Raw genomic sequence first — 18,469 nt, 5'->3', positions numbered from 1 at the left:
TTAGTGAATATGAGTCTAGTCTTCTGATTTGCAAAGTAAGTATAGTAATACCTACATTACAAGCTTGTTTCCTATTTTGCAAGAATGAATGTGAGAGAATCTATAGAATTTAAGGCCCTGGACACATGATGTATTTCCACATATTTCCAAAATTTTTTTTACAAATATTTAAGATATAGTTGTTAGGCAACTTATTAATCAAAATAGACCTCTCATATGATACTCAGAATTGCCTGACCCTTTCACCTTGACTACGAAAGGTAGGACAGGACAGATCGAGTGTTTCTCAGCCTACAGAATATCAAAATACATATTATTTTATTGTATTTTAAGAGGTATCTTTTCCTTGGATGTCAGGCAAATATACTTCAGTGCAGCTTTTGAACGATTAACATATTGGCAGTTTAAAATTATTTAACAGGGACATTTTATCATTATAAATGGGGAAATGACATTTAATTGATCTTAAAGGAAATGATTTTATAATTAATTAAAATGATCTTATGTCAAACACTAAAACTAACCCAGTATTTACATTTAAAAAAAATTTTAGAATGAAATCTTGGAAATTGCTCTGGATCAAAAAGGACTTACCAATGATAGAAAAATTGCTTTCATTGATAAAAATAGAGATCTCTGTATCACTTCTGTGAAACGATTTGGGAAGGAAGAACAAATTATCAAGCTTGGTAAAATAATTTTAATACATTTTAAGTTTTAATTGTCAACTTTCTTATATTTGCTGTAATAAATAATTTGAATGAATCTGGAAATGTTTTAATGTTTTGATCTTGTAATACTTCTTAGCTATTTAACCCTTTTTTTAAAAAAGTAGGAGTGAAAGTTTATTAAAAAGCTTTATTTTTAAATTTTTATTGTGTTTTATTGAGACAGGGTCTCACTCTGTCACCCATGCTGGAGTGGAGTGGCAAGATCAAGGTCACCAAAACCTCCGCTTCCTGGGCTCAAGTGATTCTCCTGCCTCAGCCTCCCAAGTAGCTAGGACTACAGTCATGTGCCACCACATCCAGCTAAATTTTTTTGTATTTTTGGTAGAGACAAGGTTTCACCATGTTGCCCAGGCTGGTCTCGAACTCCTGAGCTCAAGCCATCCACCTGCCTCAGTCTCTTAAAGTGCTGGGATTACAGGCGTAAGCCACTGGGCCTGGCCTATTTGAAAGCTTTAGAGCAGGAAAGAAAGGAAATAAAGTAAACTTGGTAGAGGGCAAGCAGGCAGCTTGAGAGATCAAGTGCACTGTTTGATCTTTGACTTGGGGTTTTATACTTTGGCATGCTTCTGGGGAGTTGCAACCCTTCTGCCCTAATTCTTCCCTTGGGTGGGCTGTCCACATGCATAGTGGCCTGCCAACACCTGGGAGGGGCCACATGCACAGTGTGTTTACTAAAGTTATACACATGCTCACTTGAGGCGTTTTTCCCTTACCACTCCAGTGTTTCTAGAGGAAGTTTGTATACCAGTTAAACTCCTCCACCATTTTGCCTGTTAGTCATGTGTGAGCCCACTCACCTAGCTCTTGAGATCTTATTGAGAAGCTACTGATTTCCAGTTTCAGTGTTTATATTGAGAGACTACCTTTCCCTGGCACTGGCTGCAACCAATTATTATTTTAGAGAGACAGCTTAACAACAGCCTGACCATCACCTGATGGTCACCTGACATTCCTGGTGCTGGTGGCAGGGGCCTCTCCTGACTTGCTCATGTCTGCCTGACTACCTGCTGTAACATTTCCACCCTCAAGAGTCCAAGACCCCAATTCTATGGGGAAAATGGACAAAAGTCAGTCTTCTGTAACTGCTTCCTGCTGACAGAGGGGCAATGGTGGTTATTCTGTGGATCTTGGCCTCTTGCTAGCTGTCAGGGCAGGGTGGCTCCGTGGGTTGGTGAAAGCAGTATGCAGCTAGGTCCAAGGGAGACAAGGGAGGACTTCACCTCTGTCATGTCCCACTGATGGGCAGACTAGGGGTCCCCTGTAGAAGAGTGACTCTTGAATATTGAGGGGACGGTATTCCTCACTGAGGATCATCTGGAGCTTGATGGCCTGAGGGCAAGAGGATTAACTTATTAGCAAGTCTTTAGCTGCTGCAGCTAAATTGTCACTGAAAGAAAGATTTACAGATTAAAAATATAAGGGTTCTAAGTAAAGCATTCAAATATTTCTGTAAATTCTTGTGTGATTGTTTGGTATGTGTTTTTCACCATTATAGAATCAGAAAGTAGAGTCATATCTACCAGAAATTGTATGGGATTTTGTTTGTCAGGCATTTTAAAGATCTATTTTTAATTCTTACATATTAAAGCTAATAGCACATTAACATTCTTTTTAAATTAAGGAACAATGGTGCATACTTTGGCATGGAACGATACATGCAATATCCTTTGTGGACTTCAAGATACTCGATTTATAGTGTGGTATTACCCCAATACAGTTTATGTGGACAGAGACATTTTGCCTAAAACATTATATGAAAGGGATGCAAGGTAACATTTTACTGCGTATAATTCTGTTTTGTAGTAAATAAAACTCTAATAGAGTATCATGTTTTGGCTTCTATTTTCAATCCTGCAAGGTGTTTTACACATCAGTCAGATTTATTGATGAATAAATTGTTCGGCTAAAGCTAGCTTGAGACTTAAGTGACAGAATCAAGTTGAAAGTGTGGTATGATATGAATTATTTATTTGTCCCTTATATGAATATAATTTTCAAGCTTAATATTGTGTAATGGTAGCTCAGGTAGTTTTCTCAGTGTGATCAAGTGATTTTAGTCTAGGCACTCTTTAAGATTTTTCAGGATGCACAACCTTGTGACAACTACCCAACGCTGTCACAGATTATCATTGACGTTAACACTTTCAAGAATGTAAATGTCTCTAGAATTGAATTTTTGGTTGATATTAAAAGTAGGAAAAGACCAAAGTTACTGAAATTTTTAAAAATTTATATGCTTCAGAAAATCAAACCATTTATATTCCTAAATTCTCTAAGAAATAGCAAGGAGATCTCTTATTCTTGACAAAATAGGAATACAAAGGCTTCTTAATTCTAGACCTTAGCTTAGTTTTCAAATCTGTTTTGAGTTTGTTTTTAGTATTCAAATTCAAAACCTTAACAAAACCAGAGAGGCATCAAAATAAAACAGCGTATTTTTAAAAGTATTTGGACTAATGAAAAAAAATTAGTCTTTTTATTTAAAGGTCATCTCTTTTTACTTATTTATTTTTAGAGTCAAGGTCACACTCTGTTGCCAAAGCTGGAATGCAGTGGTGTAATCATGGCTCACTGCAGCCTGGGCTTAAGTGATCTTCCCAAGTAGTTAAGGCTGCAGGTGTGAGCCACTGTGCCTGGCTCACCTCTTTTTATTCTGAGAAAATAGTCTTGGAATTTGGTTTACTTTTTATTGTTTTACCCTTTAATACTTTTAAAAGCTAAAGCTATATAAATTATTGTTGTGATTTATCTTAAGCCTCGGAAAAAAAGATGATTTCAAATGCTCTTAGGAATAGCTCTCAAATATGTAATAATTTTTGCTACTTTATATAGCAAGTTATATTCAAATGTTTACATTCAAAGTTAATTCCAGGGAGAATATGTATTCAAATAAATACATTGAAATTTTTTTTGAACATATACATTCTCCCTGGAGTTAACCTTTGGGGGTGTGCCTTTTGGAGATTGGAGACTCCGTGTGTATTTCACGGTCCACTCCCCAAATTTAATATACATGAAAAATTTTGCTCAGAATACAACTTTAAATTGTACTTTGCTTTTTTTTTCAACAGTGAATTTAGTAAAAATCCCCATATTGTGAGTTTTGTTGGAAATCAAGTAACTATTAGAAGAGCTGATGGCTCCCTGGTTCACATCAGCATAACACCATATCCTGCTATTCTCCATGAATATGTAAGCAGTTCAAAATGGGAAGATGCTGTGAGACTTTGTCGCTTTGTTAAGGTAATTTACATTTTAGATTCATAGTTGTATATATATTTCATAGTAGTTTACCTTTGTGCAAAATGAGTAATGATAATAGGCTTAAAGGCTGGAAAAATTGTGAATAAGATCATGTCTTTTTTTATAAGTAAAGACATGGGCAATACAGAGGAATACATGTTGCTGTGTGATTTATTCTCTGAAGACGCTATAAAAATTTAAACTGTTTTTCCATACTGGCACATATAAAAATCTTCTGTGGAAGTTTTCTGAAAGTCAGGTTCCCAAGTTCTACTCCCGTAGAGATTCTAATTCATTATATCTGGATTGAGTCCTGGGCATATTTTTTAATTTCCTCAGATGATTGTTTTGTACAGCTAAGGTTAAGAATCTCTGCTTTCGATCAGCCTTTTTCCAACTTGGTTGAATCTAGTATTTTTCAAACATGTTTGACCATAGACCTTTTTTATTGAACATCAGTGAACATTCCTTAGAATACACTTTTGTGAAATGACTTTTAGATGCTTTTTTTAACAATGGGTTGTTGGTGGTGAATAGCATCATTGTCTGGGGTAAATACCCGGAGTTTGTCATCTCACACCAAGAAAATCAAGGACGGACACATGTGGGTAGGTTAAGGAGTGGAAAGCGTAATAGGCAGAAGAAAGGAGAGAGGAGAGCAGCTCCTTGCCAGAGAGAGGAATCCAAAAAGGGAAAAGTGGTGGACTGCAGCAGATTTCATAGGCAGGCTTGAGGAGGCCGTGTCTGATTTACATAGTGCTCACAGATTGGTTTGACCAGGTGTGACATTTACATAGCACAGGGAAGGCTGGTTGCCCCACCCTAATCTTATTATGCAAATAGACTTTCCACCTGGCCAGTGCCATCTTGTATACTCCTTACTGTACAGATGGCTGGCAAAAAGAGAAGATGGAGCTGCTGTTTGAACATCCCCAGTCCCAGGTAGCATATTGCTATGGGCACAACTACTGGCATTCACTCATGCAAGCTTCCAGCTTGCTTGTTTATATCTGCAGCTCTATTTTACAGGCTGCTCTTTGTTAGAAAAGAAAATGATTTGGGGGCTGCTTTTCATTAAAAGGAAAACCTTATCGTAAAGGACTTCTGTACCCTCACTATCTGCCTAAGTAATTTCTTCTTAACTGGTATATCAGTAGCAATCTACCATAATATCATTGTCTGAGAACTTCACTATTTCTTTGGTTCCCTATAAATTACATTTTTTGACACCTCGTCAAAAAGACTGGAAGGTTTATAACCTTGAGTTATTATTTTAAATTCAGAAATAAATCCTTAATAACTCAAAATTGAAAATTTCATTCAAAAGTTTTCTGTGTATTAATATATTTTAACAAAATGGCCACAATGAAATTCCCACATTATTAGTTTTTTTTAATGCCCTGCTCAGTAATTTTTATTTTTTAAATTAAAATATCATTTTAGTATGAGTATTTAAATCACTGCTTATTTTAAGGCAGTTCAGTCACATAGTTAAGATAATTGTTCTCATACTTTACTTTAGGAGCAAACCATGTGGGCTTGTCTAGCTGCTATGGCAGTTGCTAATCGAGATATGACTACTGCAGAAATAGCCTATGCAGCAATTGGTGAAGTAAGTAATTAATGTTTACATATATGTACATGTGTTTTTTCTTAGCGTAATTTATTATATTTCTGTTACTATCTACTTCAATATTTTTCTTTTCTTTTTTAGATTGATAAGGTTCAGTACATCAATTCTATAAAAAATCTTCCATCTAAAGAATCAAAAATGGCCCACATACTACTGTTTAGTGGGAACATACAGGAGGCTGAAATAGTACTTCTTCAGGCTGGCCTTGTTTATCAAGCAATCCAGATCAATATTAATCTCTACAACTGGGAAAGGTAATAAGAATGCTTTCCATCAGTTCCAAAATCTGTTTGACCTTAATGTATTTTTCCATCTACCACTTAGTAAATTACATTTTCCACTATATTTTAGTTTCTTAACACCACAGAAGAATTTATTCATATTCATATTTGTGAATAGTTTACAATTTATTTCTTCTCTGAACTTTTGACTGATTAAAAGTTGGGGTGTGAAGAAGAGAGGCTAGGGTGTTTCCTAAATTTTTGGTTTTAGCAACTGGAGAGATCATGACACCATACCATTTGCAGATTTGATAGGGAAGATATTGAGTTTCATTTTAGCCAAGTTGAATTTGAAATACTCGCAAAAAGTTATAATCGTTGATTAAATGGACCTGGAGCTCATAAGAAATATCTGAACTAGAGGTTTAGATTTAGGAGTCATTAGCAAATGGATAGTAGTTGAAGCAAGAGAAATGGATGCAATTGCCTGGGGAATGTGTGGAATGAAAAGACATCCGCTACATTATGAGATGGATGAAAGGAAAGAAAGACACCAAATGTTATTCCATAAAGCAGTCGGACAGGCAGAGAAAAGAACCAAGAGAGATGTGTAGTACTAAGGAAGAAAGAGGAAAGGATTGGTCAACAGCAATCAACAGCCTTACATTAGGCTCTCGGACAGATTGCTTTCTGAGGCAAAGTGGCATGCTGCTCTTCTCTGTGACATAAGAGGTTCCTCCCACTCATTCTCTCAGGTACATGTCTCCCAGTGAACAAAACTATAGTTTTTATGTACTCCTGATGTAGTTTGTTGTGGAATTGACATATTTTTCCAGGTTTGAAGTGTCTTTCATGATCTTTGTTTCTGCCTGGGCTGAAAAATAACCCCTGTATCTGTCAATTACAAGGCTCTTTAGTTAAACTTCCTTAGATTAGAATTTCTATAGATATTTTATCTCTGTCTTTCCCTTGACTAAAAGTAACAAAAATGGCAGATGGTTAATTTTATGATTGACATACTGTAGTCTCCTTATTTAATTTATGGCTAATGATCTATACTATTCATATAATTTAGCTACTCTATTTTTGTCCCTTATTAACACAAATTCATTGTTTATCTGTACAAAGGATCATGAAAGATGTTTTTCATTCTATAAAAATAAATAGGCTGCCAGGTACAGTGGCTCACATGCTTGTAATCCCAACACTTCGGGAGGCTGAGGCAGGCGGATCACACGGTCAGGAGTTTGAGACCAGCCTGGCCAATATGGTGAAACACTGTCTCTACTAAAAATACAAAAAAAGCAGCTGGGCATGGTGGCACACGCCTGTAATCCCAGCTACTCAGAAGGCTGAGGCAGGAGAATTGCTTGAACCTGGGAGTTCCAGCCTGGGCGACCAGACCGAGACTCCATCTAAATAAATAAATAAATAAGCCATTGTCTTTGTCCTGAATTTATTCATAATTCATAAAGTTTAAGGTAACTAGTTTAGACAGTGTGAATATTTTTTAAATTTTATGTTAAATAACTTATAGAAAATTATATGTATCATTACCCAGCTAATAGAGAAATGGGGAAGAATTGTGTTTATAGCATTCTTTTGACCAGTGTTTTTGAAAAAATATGTTGAAATCGTAGACACTACTCTTGCTATAGCATTCTGAATACTGTACAATTTAACAAAAAAAAATTTAAGGTAATGGTCTTTATCTTAAAAAGCTTGTAACCTAATTAGGAATTCCATTTCGTTGTCATTAATAATAGTCAAATGTCAAAATGATGAAGAGTATTGCACATAGAATGAATATTAACTACCTACTATGTAAAGGTAATGTAAAATGTTTCTGCTGTTCAGGAAGCATATAATCCATAAGGGGAAAGATAACATAAATATCTGCAAAGATAAATAATTAGAGAGATAAACAGTAATCCAGTAAAAACAATATAAACAATGGTACCAGCAGTACATAATTAACTGCTTGGTGACCATTAATAATCATTTTGCAGCATTCCTCCTTTTAGATTGATACGGTTCAGTACATCAATTCTGTAAAAAAAAACTTCCATCTAAAGAATAAAAAATGACCCACATACTAATGTTTAGTGGGAACATACAGAGGTTGAAATAGTACTTCTAAACACTGGCCTCCACTTATTCAGTGGTTATGATGTGCTAGGAATTAACTGTGCTAGACACTTGCTATATATCATGTCGTTAGGTTATCTCAGCAACTCCAGAAGTTTAGATATTACCAGCCCCATTTTACAAATGAGGAAATTGAGGTTTACATATAAATAAGCACAAAATCTAGGATTTGAACCCCCAAGTTGTCTAATATCAAAGAAGAGCTCAATTTATCACTAAGCAATCAATTATCTATGGCTGGTACCATTGCATATATCATTTTGGTTTTTTTGAGACGGAGTCTCGCTCTGTCATCCAGGCTGGAGTGCGGCGGCACGATCTCGGCTCACTGCAACTTCTGCCTCCTGGGTTTAAGTGATTATCGTACTTCAGCCACCTAAGTAGCTGGGATTACAGGCTAATTTTTGTACTTGTAGTAGAGACGGGCTTTCACCATGTTGGCCAGGCTGGTCTCGAACTCCTGACCTCAAGTGATCTGCCTGCCTTGGCCTCCCAAAGCACTGGGATTACAGACGTAGCCACTGCACCCGGCCATGCTTATGTTGTTTTTACTGGATTACTATTTCTCTCTTTATTTATATTTGCAGATATTAAATCGTCTTTCCTCTTACAGATTATATACTTCCTGAAGAGCGGAAACATTTCACATTATCTATACATAGTAGGTAGTTAATATTCATGCCCTTACTCTCTATGCAATACTCTTCATCATTTTGCAGCATTCCTCCTCTTCAAACATTTATTGGGTGTAGATACATGCAGTGAGTGAGTAGGTATCACAGAAGAAGGTGAGGAAATTTGCCTCTGATGGCCTATAATATAACCTTCTGAACATTTCTTGTACCTCCTTGACCCAAATGAAACCTACCTTTATTTGGAAGAGAAGGTGGAGAAGAGAACACCACTTCTCTACCAGTCCTCTCAAATGGAGTCAATTTATTCTCTCCACTCTACATTCCTTAGGATCCAGTGTGAGTGGAGTTGGTGTCCTTTTTGCCTCCCTCATCTTTACTTCCCTATCTTATAAAATCTCCAGTCCTTTAAGGCTTATATCATGTGTCTCTACTTATTTTTTGCTGAGACCTCAAACTTTCCCTGCTATCCTTATATCCTGTTCCCCGCATGCCCCCCTTCACCTTCCAGTTCTCAGTAAGGGACCTTCTCTTGAAATCATTAGATCTCAGGGAGAGGGAAAACAAGAAGGTCAAAGAAGATGTAATGAGGAAAGAGAATGAATTCTGGGTGCTCCTCCATTCTTCTTATCTCCTGGCATCTCCTTTTCATGTGTTTCTTGCTTTTACCTAATTGTAAGCCAGTGGTTTGGTCAGGTGCTGGTAGAGATCTCTGAGTCTACCTGAAAAGATGATAAAGATCCCAGAGCATTGTTCCTGGATTCTGACCATTATTTATACACTACACTATCTATACACTTAAGACTCCAAAATATGCATCTCTCATCTAGCCTTTTGTTCTGCCCATATTTGCTTCCAGAATTCAATTCTCCAACTACCTACTTAACATTTCCATTAGATATCTCACATTTTTTAGCTCAAATTTATGTTTATTCCCTCATAAACCTGGTCCTCCTCCAGCCTAATTTATCTTATCATTCTTTCAGCTGTACAAAGCTGGAAACGTAGAAGTTACTTTTAACATTTTCCTCACCTTCGCCCTCCCTATTATCAACCATTTCCCTCCCAAATGCCTCTAACACTCATCCACTTCACTACTAGTACCATTACGTAAGTTGATCCAAGTTTTTCTGCTTAATGTCATCACTGATCTCCCTATATCTACTCTGTCTCTTTCCTACCCATTCTTCACTCTGCAGTCATAGTGATCTTTTCACAATGGAAATCTGGTCGTATCACTCTTGACCTCTGATTCACTTCAATAAAGCCCACTTCAGTGAAATTCATAGTTTCCCATTGCTTTTAGCATAAATATCAAGATTGGATAAGAAAGGACTGCAAATATTCAGCAAAAGTAATTATAGCTGCTAAGAAACTCTCAGGAAACTTATATATTGTTTTTATTTCTAAGTTCTACAGATATTTCTGAAACAATTTGGAGTATTTGTTCCAACTGCACATTCATTCATTCATTCAACAGATAATTAAGTGTAATCGCTTGGTATCCGTGAGATGGGTAAGGATTGGTTCCAGGACCCCCAGGATACCAAAATCTGGGATGCTCAAGTTCTTCGTATAAAATGACGTAGTATTTACATATAACCTATGCACAGGGCTTGAATTTGTTTATGTACTTTAGCTGCAGGGAAGGCCCACATTGAATATGTGTATAGAACAGAGCTGTAGTAGATTTTTTTGTACAAGTATAAGGTAATGGTTAAGCTATCTAACAATTTGAATTTGTTTACCTTTAATTGAATTTCTACATCCAGTTCATAAGGCCCAGTAGGGAGTGGGATATACAAGTTTAATGTTCATGAGAGATCCTAGACATTGAGGGGAAAGCCAGTGAAGGAATTATCAGTCTACAGACAGTAGTTGAGGCCATGAGTATGGCTGAGGTTTATCACGAAAACTTAAGAAAAGAGAGCAGCAAGCAGATATCTGCTGAATACCAATATTTAAGGGTGTGCTTTAAGAAGAGAATTTAGCAATAGAGATCAGAAGGGATGAAAAGATGGAATTTTAAAAAATTGTTTATTATGGAAAATTTCAAACACATACAAAAGTAGAGAGAATAGTCTGAATGTACCCATCATTCACTTCGACAATGATCAATTTGTGAACAATTTCTACCCTTACCCTACCATTTATTTTAAAGCAGACCCCAATCATTATATCATTTTTTTCTGTAAATATTTCAGCATGTATCTCTAAATTTTTTTTAACATAGCCACAATATTGCAGTCATACCTTCAAAAGTAAACAGTAATTATATTCACTGTTCTTATTTCTCTGTTTCACTCATAAGTGTTTTGTTTTGTTTTATGGTTTGTTTGAATCAGAATCCAATAAAGATCCACACACTGTGATTGGTTGATATGTTCTTAAATTTGTTTTAATCTATAGCTTCTCCTATTCTTTTTTGTGTTTTCTTGCAATTTTCCCATTGAAGAAACTGGACCTATAGAATTTACCATAGTGTGGACATTATTGGATCTTTGGACAAACATTGCATCTTTGTGGTGTACTTTAACATAGTCCTCTGTCCCCTGAATTAGTTGCATATTGGTTGTTGAATCTAGGAACTTGATTAGATTTAGGTTTTTTTTTTTTTGATAAGACTTCATTATAGTAGTGTTAGATGTTTTTGTAATGACTGGCTGTAGTGGTTTTTCATGGTATTTTTTGTGATGTTAGTAGCCATTGATGATCATTGCCCAAATCTATTAATTTGAGCTTACAAAATGGTGATATTCTATCATTCCAGAAGGATAGAATTTGTTAGATGCTAAATACATTAGATTGCTTTTAATATCCCTGAATCTCTATATTTGTTTAAATCCTCTAGAAGGGAACAGATTTTGTTTTGTTCATATGTGATATTCCACTTGAGAAGCATAGTCTTGCTGGTTTATGCTTCTGTCTTTCATGTTTGAATTTGAAAATTGCCTGCAACCTAATAAGGTACAGCTCTTGAAGAGTTATAGGTAAGCAAGTTATCTGTTTGCTATCCACTTTGGACATTTGGTAGTAGTCTGTTCTCAAAAACTGAAGTTAAGAGAGGTAGAAACTAGAAACTCTAAATATGCATGTTAATCCTTTATGTGCATATTAATAAAAATAATTTCTGATCTCAGTTATACAAAGTGATTTCGCTTCATTCAAGTTATGCAAAAATCATATTTTGAAGTTATAACATCTTTTTATATAACTTCCTTCTATTTAAAATACATGGATTTATTCCAGCCTTAGAATCTAATGTCACATTTGTTTGGTTGCCAAATAACCATTTTAAAACTAGAGACATACTGTTCCCAAAACCCTTAGATAATTTGGAGTAAGTTCCCTCCTAAATGTGGAGAAGAAACATTTTTTTACCCAGTATGTGCTTTTAGAGAACATTTAAAATAGCACATATCATTTGAATGTTTACCCTTAGCCATTGCTATTCAATCGATACATATTTTATTATAATAATAATAATGACAATGATAGATAATTCTTAGGATCTAGCATCTAAATGCAGGATTAGACATCATATTCTATTCTTTCTACATAATTAAATGTATTGATGTTTCATACCATAGTATCTCATTCGGAATTTTGGAAAAGCTCCAACCCAGAATGGATGATTTTATGTACTCCCCATTGAGAATACTTTCAGTTTTGCACAATCAAGATCTCCTTCCCTGATCATGTACAATCATAAAGAAAGAATGGGAGATGGAGCTTCTAAGGTGACAAAAAAAAGTAGCTCATCAGTCTCCACTCACACATACACAACTGGAATCAGAGCCTTAGGGATATACATGGGGGGATTATATGGGAGAGGGTTAGCAGAACTGAGGCATCTTTACTTCTGTTTCTCCTTTTTTGAGCCTCCGTGAATTGCTTTTTGCCTTCTTTATCTTCCACTTTTCCCCTCTATATTCTAGTAACTTTACATTCTTTTCTGCCTGTTTTTTTTTCTGAAAGACGTAAGGTCACAGAGGAATGAGGGAATTTTGTGAGAATGTGTGATGGTAGCAAATACTGACCCTTGGATTTCACAATACAGTGTATGTCAATTTATAAGAAATCATTTTGCCCAATTTTGGCATTACCATTTGTATTATATATAACTTACATTCATAATTTTTGCATATTAAGTGTTTAATATCTCTCAAAAGTCTATCAGTTGTCAATCAATACATACACCATGTCTAAAATACTTTTTAAAGTGACTATTTAGTTTGATCAATAGTAAGGCAAACCAAGCCAGGCACGGTGGCTCACAGCTATAATCCCAGCACTTTGGGAGGCCAAGGCAGGCAGATCACTTGAGGTCAGGAGTTGAAGACCAGCCTGGCCAATGTGGTGAAACCACGTCTCTACTAAAAATACAAAAATTAATTGGGTATGGTGGCGGATGCCTGTATTCCCAGCTACTTGGGAGGCTGAGGCAGAAGAATTGCTTGAACCCTGGCAGCAGAGGTTGCAGTGAGCCAAAATCATGCCACTGCACTCCAGCCTGGGCGGCAGAATGAGACTCCATCTAAAAAAAAAATAGTAAGCCAAACCAAAGCATGCCAAAAATGAACCAGATTTTCCTAGTGAAGAGTCTAGTTGCAAAAAATCTAATCAGTAGTCAGCTTTGCTAAAACAACAGACTTATAATAGTTGGCTCTGATAAATCCTGACTGGAATATTCAGAAGTCGTATGTCATATTAGAAAGCAAGAGAACTTGAGAAATAATGTGCTTTTGACTATTATGATGACTGTTATCTTATTTTGAAACAAGATGACAGTGAACAGTGTAAGAGAGCTATAGTCCACTGGATTGTTCCCGACTCAACTAATATGAGTTATGCACAGGATTGCAGTGGCTGAGGTGCTGTCCAAAACCCACATGTGAAAGTAAGCCTGGAACTGAGGATTAATCTTTTTATTCTCCTACAAATTATCATCAGTGTATATATTTTATGTCTTTAGTTTATACCACTGTTTTCAGCAGCAATTTATTTAGTTATCATCTACCATTTAAATAAAATATTACTTTAAAAATAACTTGCATAAATATTGATTGAATTATAAAACTTAAATGACTGTCAACTTTTCCTGAGACTCAGATGGCAAAAGGCATTTTCTCAGACTTCTTAGCCTCAATTTGTTATTTTCATAAGATTTTTAATTTGCTATAGTAATAATGTAAAGATACCAGTTTTTAATTTTATAAACTCAGTATAGACTTATGAAAATGGTCAAAATAATGGGACCACTTACACTGTGGGGAATTTCATTCACTTGAATTACAGGATGATTTCAAAAATATTTTCTTTTTTTTTTTTTTTTTGAGTCTCGCTCTGTCACCCAGGCCGGAATGCAGTGGCGCGATCTCAGCTCACTGCAACTTCCACCTCCCAGATTCAAGCGATTCTCCCGCCTCAGCCTCCCGAGTAGTTGGGGTTACAGGCATGTACCACCACGCCCAGCTAATTTTTGTATCTTTAGCAGAGACAGGGTTTCGCCATGTTGGCCAGGCTAGTCTTGAACTCCTGACCTCAAGTGATCCTCCCACCTTGGCCTCCCAAAGTGCTGGGATTACAGGCATGAACCACTGTGCCCAGCCTCAAAAATATTTTCAATGCATATTTACCACATATGTACTCTGTATTACTCACCAAAGAGAAATGTCTCCCTTCAATAAGTGTATTGGCTAGTGGAGAAAAAAGACTCATAACAATTGTACTATAAGGAGTGCTGTAATAATAGTATATATATAAATGGTATGAAGCATAGATAAGATAATAGTCATTTATTTCTACAAGAAGAGCTGGTCAGGGAGAAGAGGCCATGTTTGATCTGGGCCCTGAAGTATATAAGTAGGAATTTGCAAGATGGATGAGGTAGAAAATGGTATTTCATATTGTGGAATAAACAGAGGGAAGAGCCATTTGTCTTATCCCCAACTCCAGAACTCTACTACTCATGGAGTCTGACACAAACAATGTTAATAATCTGTTTTATTTCTCATTATAGGGCACTGGAATTGGCTGTAAAATACAAAACACATGTTGATACAGTTCTTGCTTACCGTCAAAAGTTTTTGGAGACATTTGGTAAACAGGAAACTAATAAACGATACTTGCATTATGCAGAAGGTGTAAGTATTTCACAATTTTGTATAATAATACATATGCTTTATAAGTATATGTCATATTCATCCTAATGAGACAAAATGTGAATGATTCAAATTTTGAATCTTTTAACCTCTAAAAGAATTACTTTTTGCCTTATGACATCTTATTTTGACTGTAATTATAGTACTAAATTTTTCTCTGGAATCTTGCAGGCATATTTTGATTAACTCAAGTCTGTCTTCATAATATTCCATTTGTGCTAAGGTTGGGTGCTATTTGATATTTTTAGATAAATAATATACGTGGGTGGAATAAAAGCTTCTAACTCTTAAATTTCACCTGCCACAAGCTGCCTCTTCTGCTGTAGGGGAAATATATATGCACAGAGGGCACTGACCAGAAAATGCATAGTTGGTCACTTTGTAGAATTCTAGAAAGCTAGGTTGCACCTCCTAGAAGTGCCTAGCCTAGGTAGATTTCACTACCTAGAACCAAAGAAGACTCAGCCTTTGCCTTCCAGGCTCCTACCAGAATCTCAGATTTTATTACTCTAATTAGAAGAAAGTCATTCTGGGATGCAGTGGTGCATGCCTGTAGTCCCAGCTACTTGGGAGGCTGAGGCAGGAGGACTGCTTGAGCCCAAGAATTCAAGGCCAGCCTGGGCAACATAGCAAGACCCCACCTCTAAATAAACAAATAAAAATAAAAAGAAGGAAGTCATTCCAGTATAGATCAGCCCACAAGGAGACCCAGAATGAGTTTGCCCCATTGCCTAGAGCATAACTGATTATAGCCACTTAGCCAGATTCTTTTAGGCTCAGACAGCAGAAACAGAGCTCATGTCACTAGCCATATAGATCCAAGAAGCTTGACTCCTAAGAGCTGTGATTACAAGACAGGGCTGACCTTTCTTTCAGCTCTGTGAACCACTTTCTTTAGCCTTTTATTCATTCATTTATTCAAAAAATGTATGATATCTCACTCTGGCCTAGACACTATGCTAGGGGTTAAAATCAGATACAGCCTCTTATGTCTCTTTGGAGCTTATAGATTATGTGGGAGCATACCTTCTTGGTGTAGAATAAAATGGAATGTTCTGATTGATCATAGGGGCAGACTGGGTTAGAGGAGACTTAGGAAGAGGAGAGAAGATAGAGAGAAGGCACCCACAATTTCTATTAAAGCCAACATTATCTACTTATTGTATTTAGAATACGTAGTGTCTTGATCTACATTTTTGCACTTCAGAACAATTTTCATGTTAGTGAGGCCTTTGAGACCATTCTTAGAGTTTAGCAGTGCAACTTCGACATCTGGATCCAGGATAGCTACAAGTTGTGGGTTTCATGGTAGAAAGGAGATATGTTTTTTAGAAGCTCCACAAACCTTTTTTTGATTTCATTTGGAACCTGCTTAGTACTGAAGTGAATCCTGGGAGTTTGGGCATACTCTACTATTAGGACAAACACAGCATCCCTGGGATCTCTGGGGCTACACTCTGATTCATAATATATGACAGCAGCCACCACCAAAACAGTGCTAAGCAGCCCAAAGAACTGTGACACAAAGGTCAGGTAATCTGATCTTTGTGTCACAGTTTTGAATATATGATCATATGTTAAAACTGAGCACCCACCTTGTTTATTGTATAATTTTAAAGCAGATTAAACTACTCTGCTTTTTCCTCCTCGCCATCAATATTTTTTCAATATTCACATTTGATACTTTTGAGAACATAGGAAATACAGTTCTGATCAGGTGTGGTGGCTCAAGCCTATAATCCCAACACTTTGGGAGGCTGAGGCAGGAGGATCACTTGAGTCCAGGAGTTTGAGACCAGCTTAGGCAACATAGTGAGATCCCATCTGTACAAAAAATTTAAAAATTAGCTGGACATGGTGGCTCATGCTTGTAGTCCCAGCTACTTGGGAGAGGTAGGAGAATCACCTGAGCCTGGGAGGTCAAGGCTGAAGTGAGTTGAGATCATGCCACTGCACTCCAGCCTAGGTGACAGAGTGAGATCCTGTCAGAATGAAAGAAAAGAGAGAAAGAAAAAAAGAGAAAGAGAGAAGGAAGGAAGGAAAGAAGGGGGGGGGAGGAGAAAGAAAAGAAAGTCCTTACTATGAAGAAAATTATATTTTAGATAGCAAAAATTAACATCTTTATCATCTTTTTCATTATACATATATTCAACTGTTACCAAAATATAATACTTTAATCATAAGAGTACCAGAACAACATGGCTTTCTTAGGTATTTTAGGGTTTTTTTTTTCCATCCAGAAACTATATAGGTTACTTTGACTCCCTATGGTACTATGTTCTCGTTTCCTACTTTTCTTCATAAATGTCATTTGGAGTTAACTAAAAATCATAAAGCAGTATTTTATGATGAAAATTATTTTTTTCTTAAAAATTTCCCACCAATGAAATAAAATGTAACCCTGGGAAAATAGCTCTTGGGGATATCTGCATTACTTGCTGACCTTTTGGTTTCATTTAAGTCTATAATCTAGTCATAATATATCATCCATATTTATCTTTGCCAGACTTATGATTATATAAATGCTTTATTTCAGAACTAAGAGTTAAATAGAAAGGGGTCTTTTAAAAATAACATTGAGAAATTTATTCTAGATATCTGGTGATTTTGGTGGGCTCACAATGCATACCATCTGGAAATTTATAAATGAATGGAATCTACCATAAGGGAAGAAGTGAGAAGTTTGATAGACACTTAGTTTATGAGCCCTGAAATGTTATTTGGCCATTTCTAATTTAAAATATGGCAATCTGGGATTTTTACAAGGAGTACTGTTTTCCAACAACCCTGATATTTAGAGTTATTGTACTTGGTCTACAATAGTGTTCTGTAAATATTTATAAAACAAATTTTAAATCTAGCAAATAAAATCCACTCAAAGAATACATTTATTATATTAAATATATACTCTGCACAAGAAGAAAAGTAGATCTGGGAAATACTTCAGACATTTGCTAGGAAAAAGAAAAAGAGTGAAAGAAATCAAACTCATGAGCAGGATTTCAGAAAGTTTAAAATTTTGAAGATCTGAGTCAACACTCTACTTAGGACAAACCACTTTAGGCTTAGCTACTACCGAAAAGCTGCTTTACAGGTTTTAAGTTTGGAGGAATTGTTAATAGTGAGGAGTTGTTAGCTGATTACTGATTTGCTGGGTAATTATTTACCTTTTATTCATTCAGTATTTATTGAGTGCCTCCTGTAGACAGTGTTTTCTCCTTAGTGCTTGGGATATAATAGTAAACGTGACAGACACTGGCCCTGGCTTTATGAAGTTTATATTCAAATGGAGGTGACAGTTGTCTAGGTAATTGTTCATTTCAATTGTGATAATTGCCTTGAAGGAGATGTACGTGGTGCTATAAGACTTTATGAATGGGGGTCCTGACCTATGGTGAGGCAATCAGCAGAGACTGTTCTAGCAAAGAGCATGATATTTGAACTCAGCTTTAGAGGATGAATAGTAGAAGCTCACTGCAGGGTAGAGGTTGGGTAGGAGATGAGAATAACATGTTCCAGGAGAGGGAAGGCTTTAAAGTAGGAAAGAGTAAAAGCAATGGAGGGATTGACTTTAGGGTTTCATAGGGCAAATTAAATAAGAGAAGCCATTGGAGGGCAATAACATGATCACTTTTTCCTTTTAAAATCCTGATTCCGCAAGGTGCGGTGGCTCACACCCATAATCCCAGCACTTTGG

At 36.2% G+C, this 18,469-nt stretch overlaps 1 protein-coding gene and 1 long non-coding RNA gene across 6 annotated transcripts in view; both read left to right on the top strand.

Moving 5' to 3' along the window:
- Nucleotides 1-18,469, top strand: part of TRIM59-IFT80 (TRIM59-IFT80 readthrough (NMD candidate)) — a 258,294-nt gene that overhangs the window by 202,581 nt on the left and 37,244 nt on the right. For all 3 annotated transcript variants that reach the window (NR_148401.1, NR_148403.1, NR_148402.1), the window contains 6 exons: nt 554-689; nt 2,353-2,500; nt 3,803-3,974; nt 5,497-5,586; nt 5,689-5,861; nt 14,631-14,754. This is a non-coding gene — a long non-coding RNA (TRIM59-IFT80 readthrough (NMD candidate)). The remainder of the gene's footprint in view (nt 1-553; nt 690-2,352; nt 2,501-3,802; nt 3,975-5,496; nt 5,587-5,688; nt 5,862-14,630; nt 14,755-18,469) is intronic.
- IFT80 (intraflagellar transport 80) overlaps nt 1-18,469 on the top strand; it is a 142,240-nt gene that overhangs the window by 116,059 nt on the left and 7,712 nt on the right. For all 3 annotated transcript variants that reach the window (NM_020800.3, NM_001190241.2, NM_001190242.2), the window contains 6 exons: nt 554-689; nt 2,353-2,500; nt 3,803-3,974; nt 5,497-5,586; nt 5,689-5,861; nt 14,631-14,754. In NM_020800.3, coding sequence (NP_065851.1) covers nt 554-689; nt 2,353-2,500; nt 3,803-3,974; nt 5,497-5,586; nt 5,689-5,861; nt 14,631-14,754 — 843 coding nt within the window. The remainder of the gene's footprint in view (nt 1-553; nt 690-2,352; nt 2,501-3,802; nt 3,975-5,496; nt 5,587-5,688; nt 5,862-14,630; nt 14,755-18,469) is intronic.

The sequence above is a fragment of the Homo sapiens genome, chromosome 3 (genome assembly GCF_000001405.40).
Source record: "Homo sapiens chromosome 3, GRCh38.p14 Primary Assembly".
Classification (NCBI taxonomy): domain Eukaryota; kingdom Metazoa; phylum Chordata; class Mammalia; order Primates; family Hominidae; genus Homo; species Homo sapiens.
The sequence above is the reverse complement of the archived record's forward strand: the minus strand, read 5'-3'. Positions and strand labels throughout refer to the sequence as shown.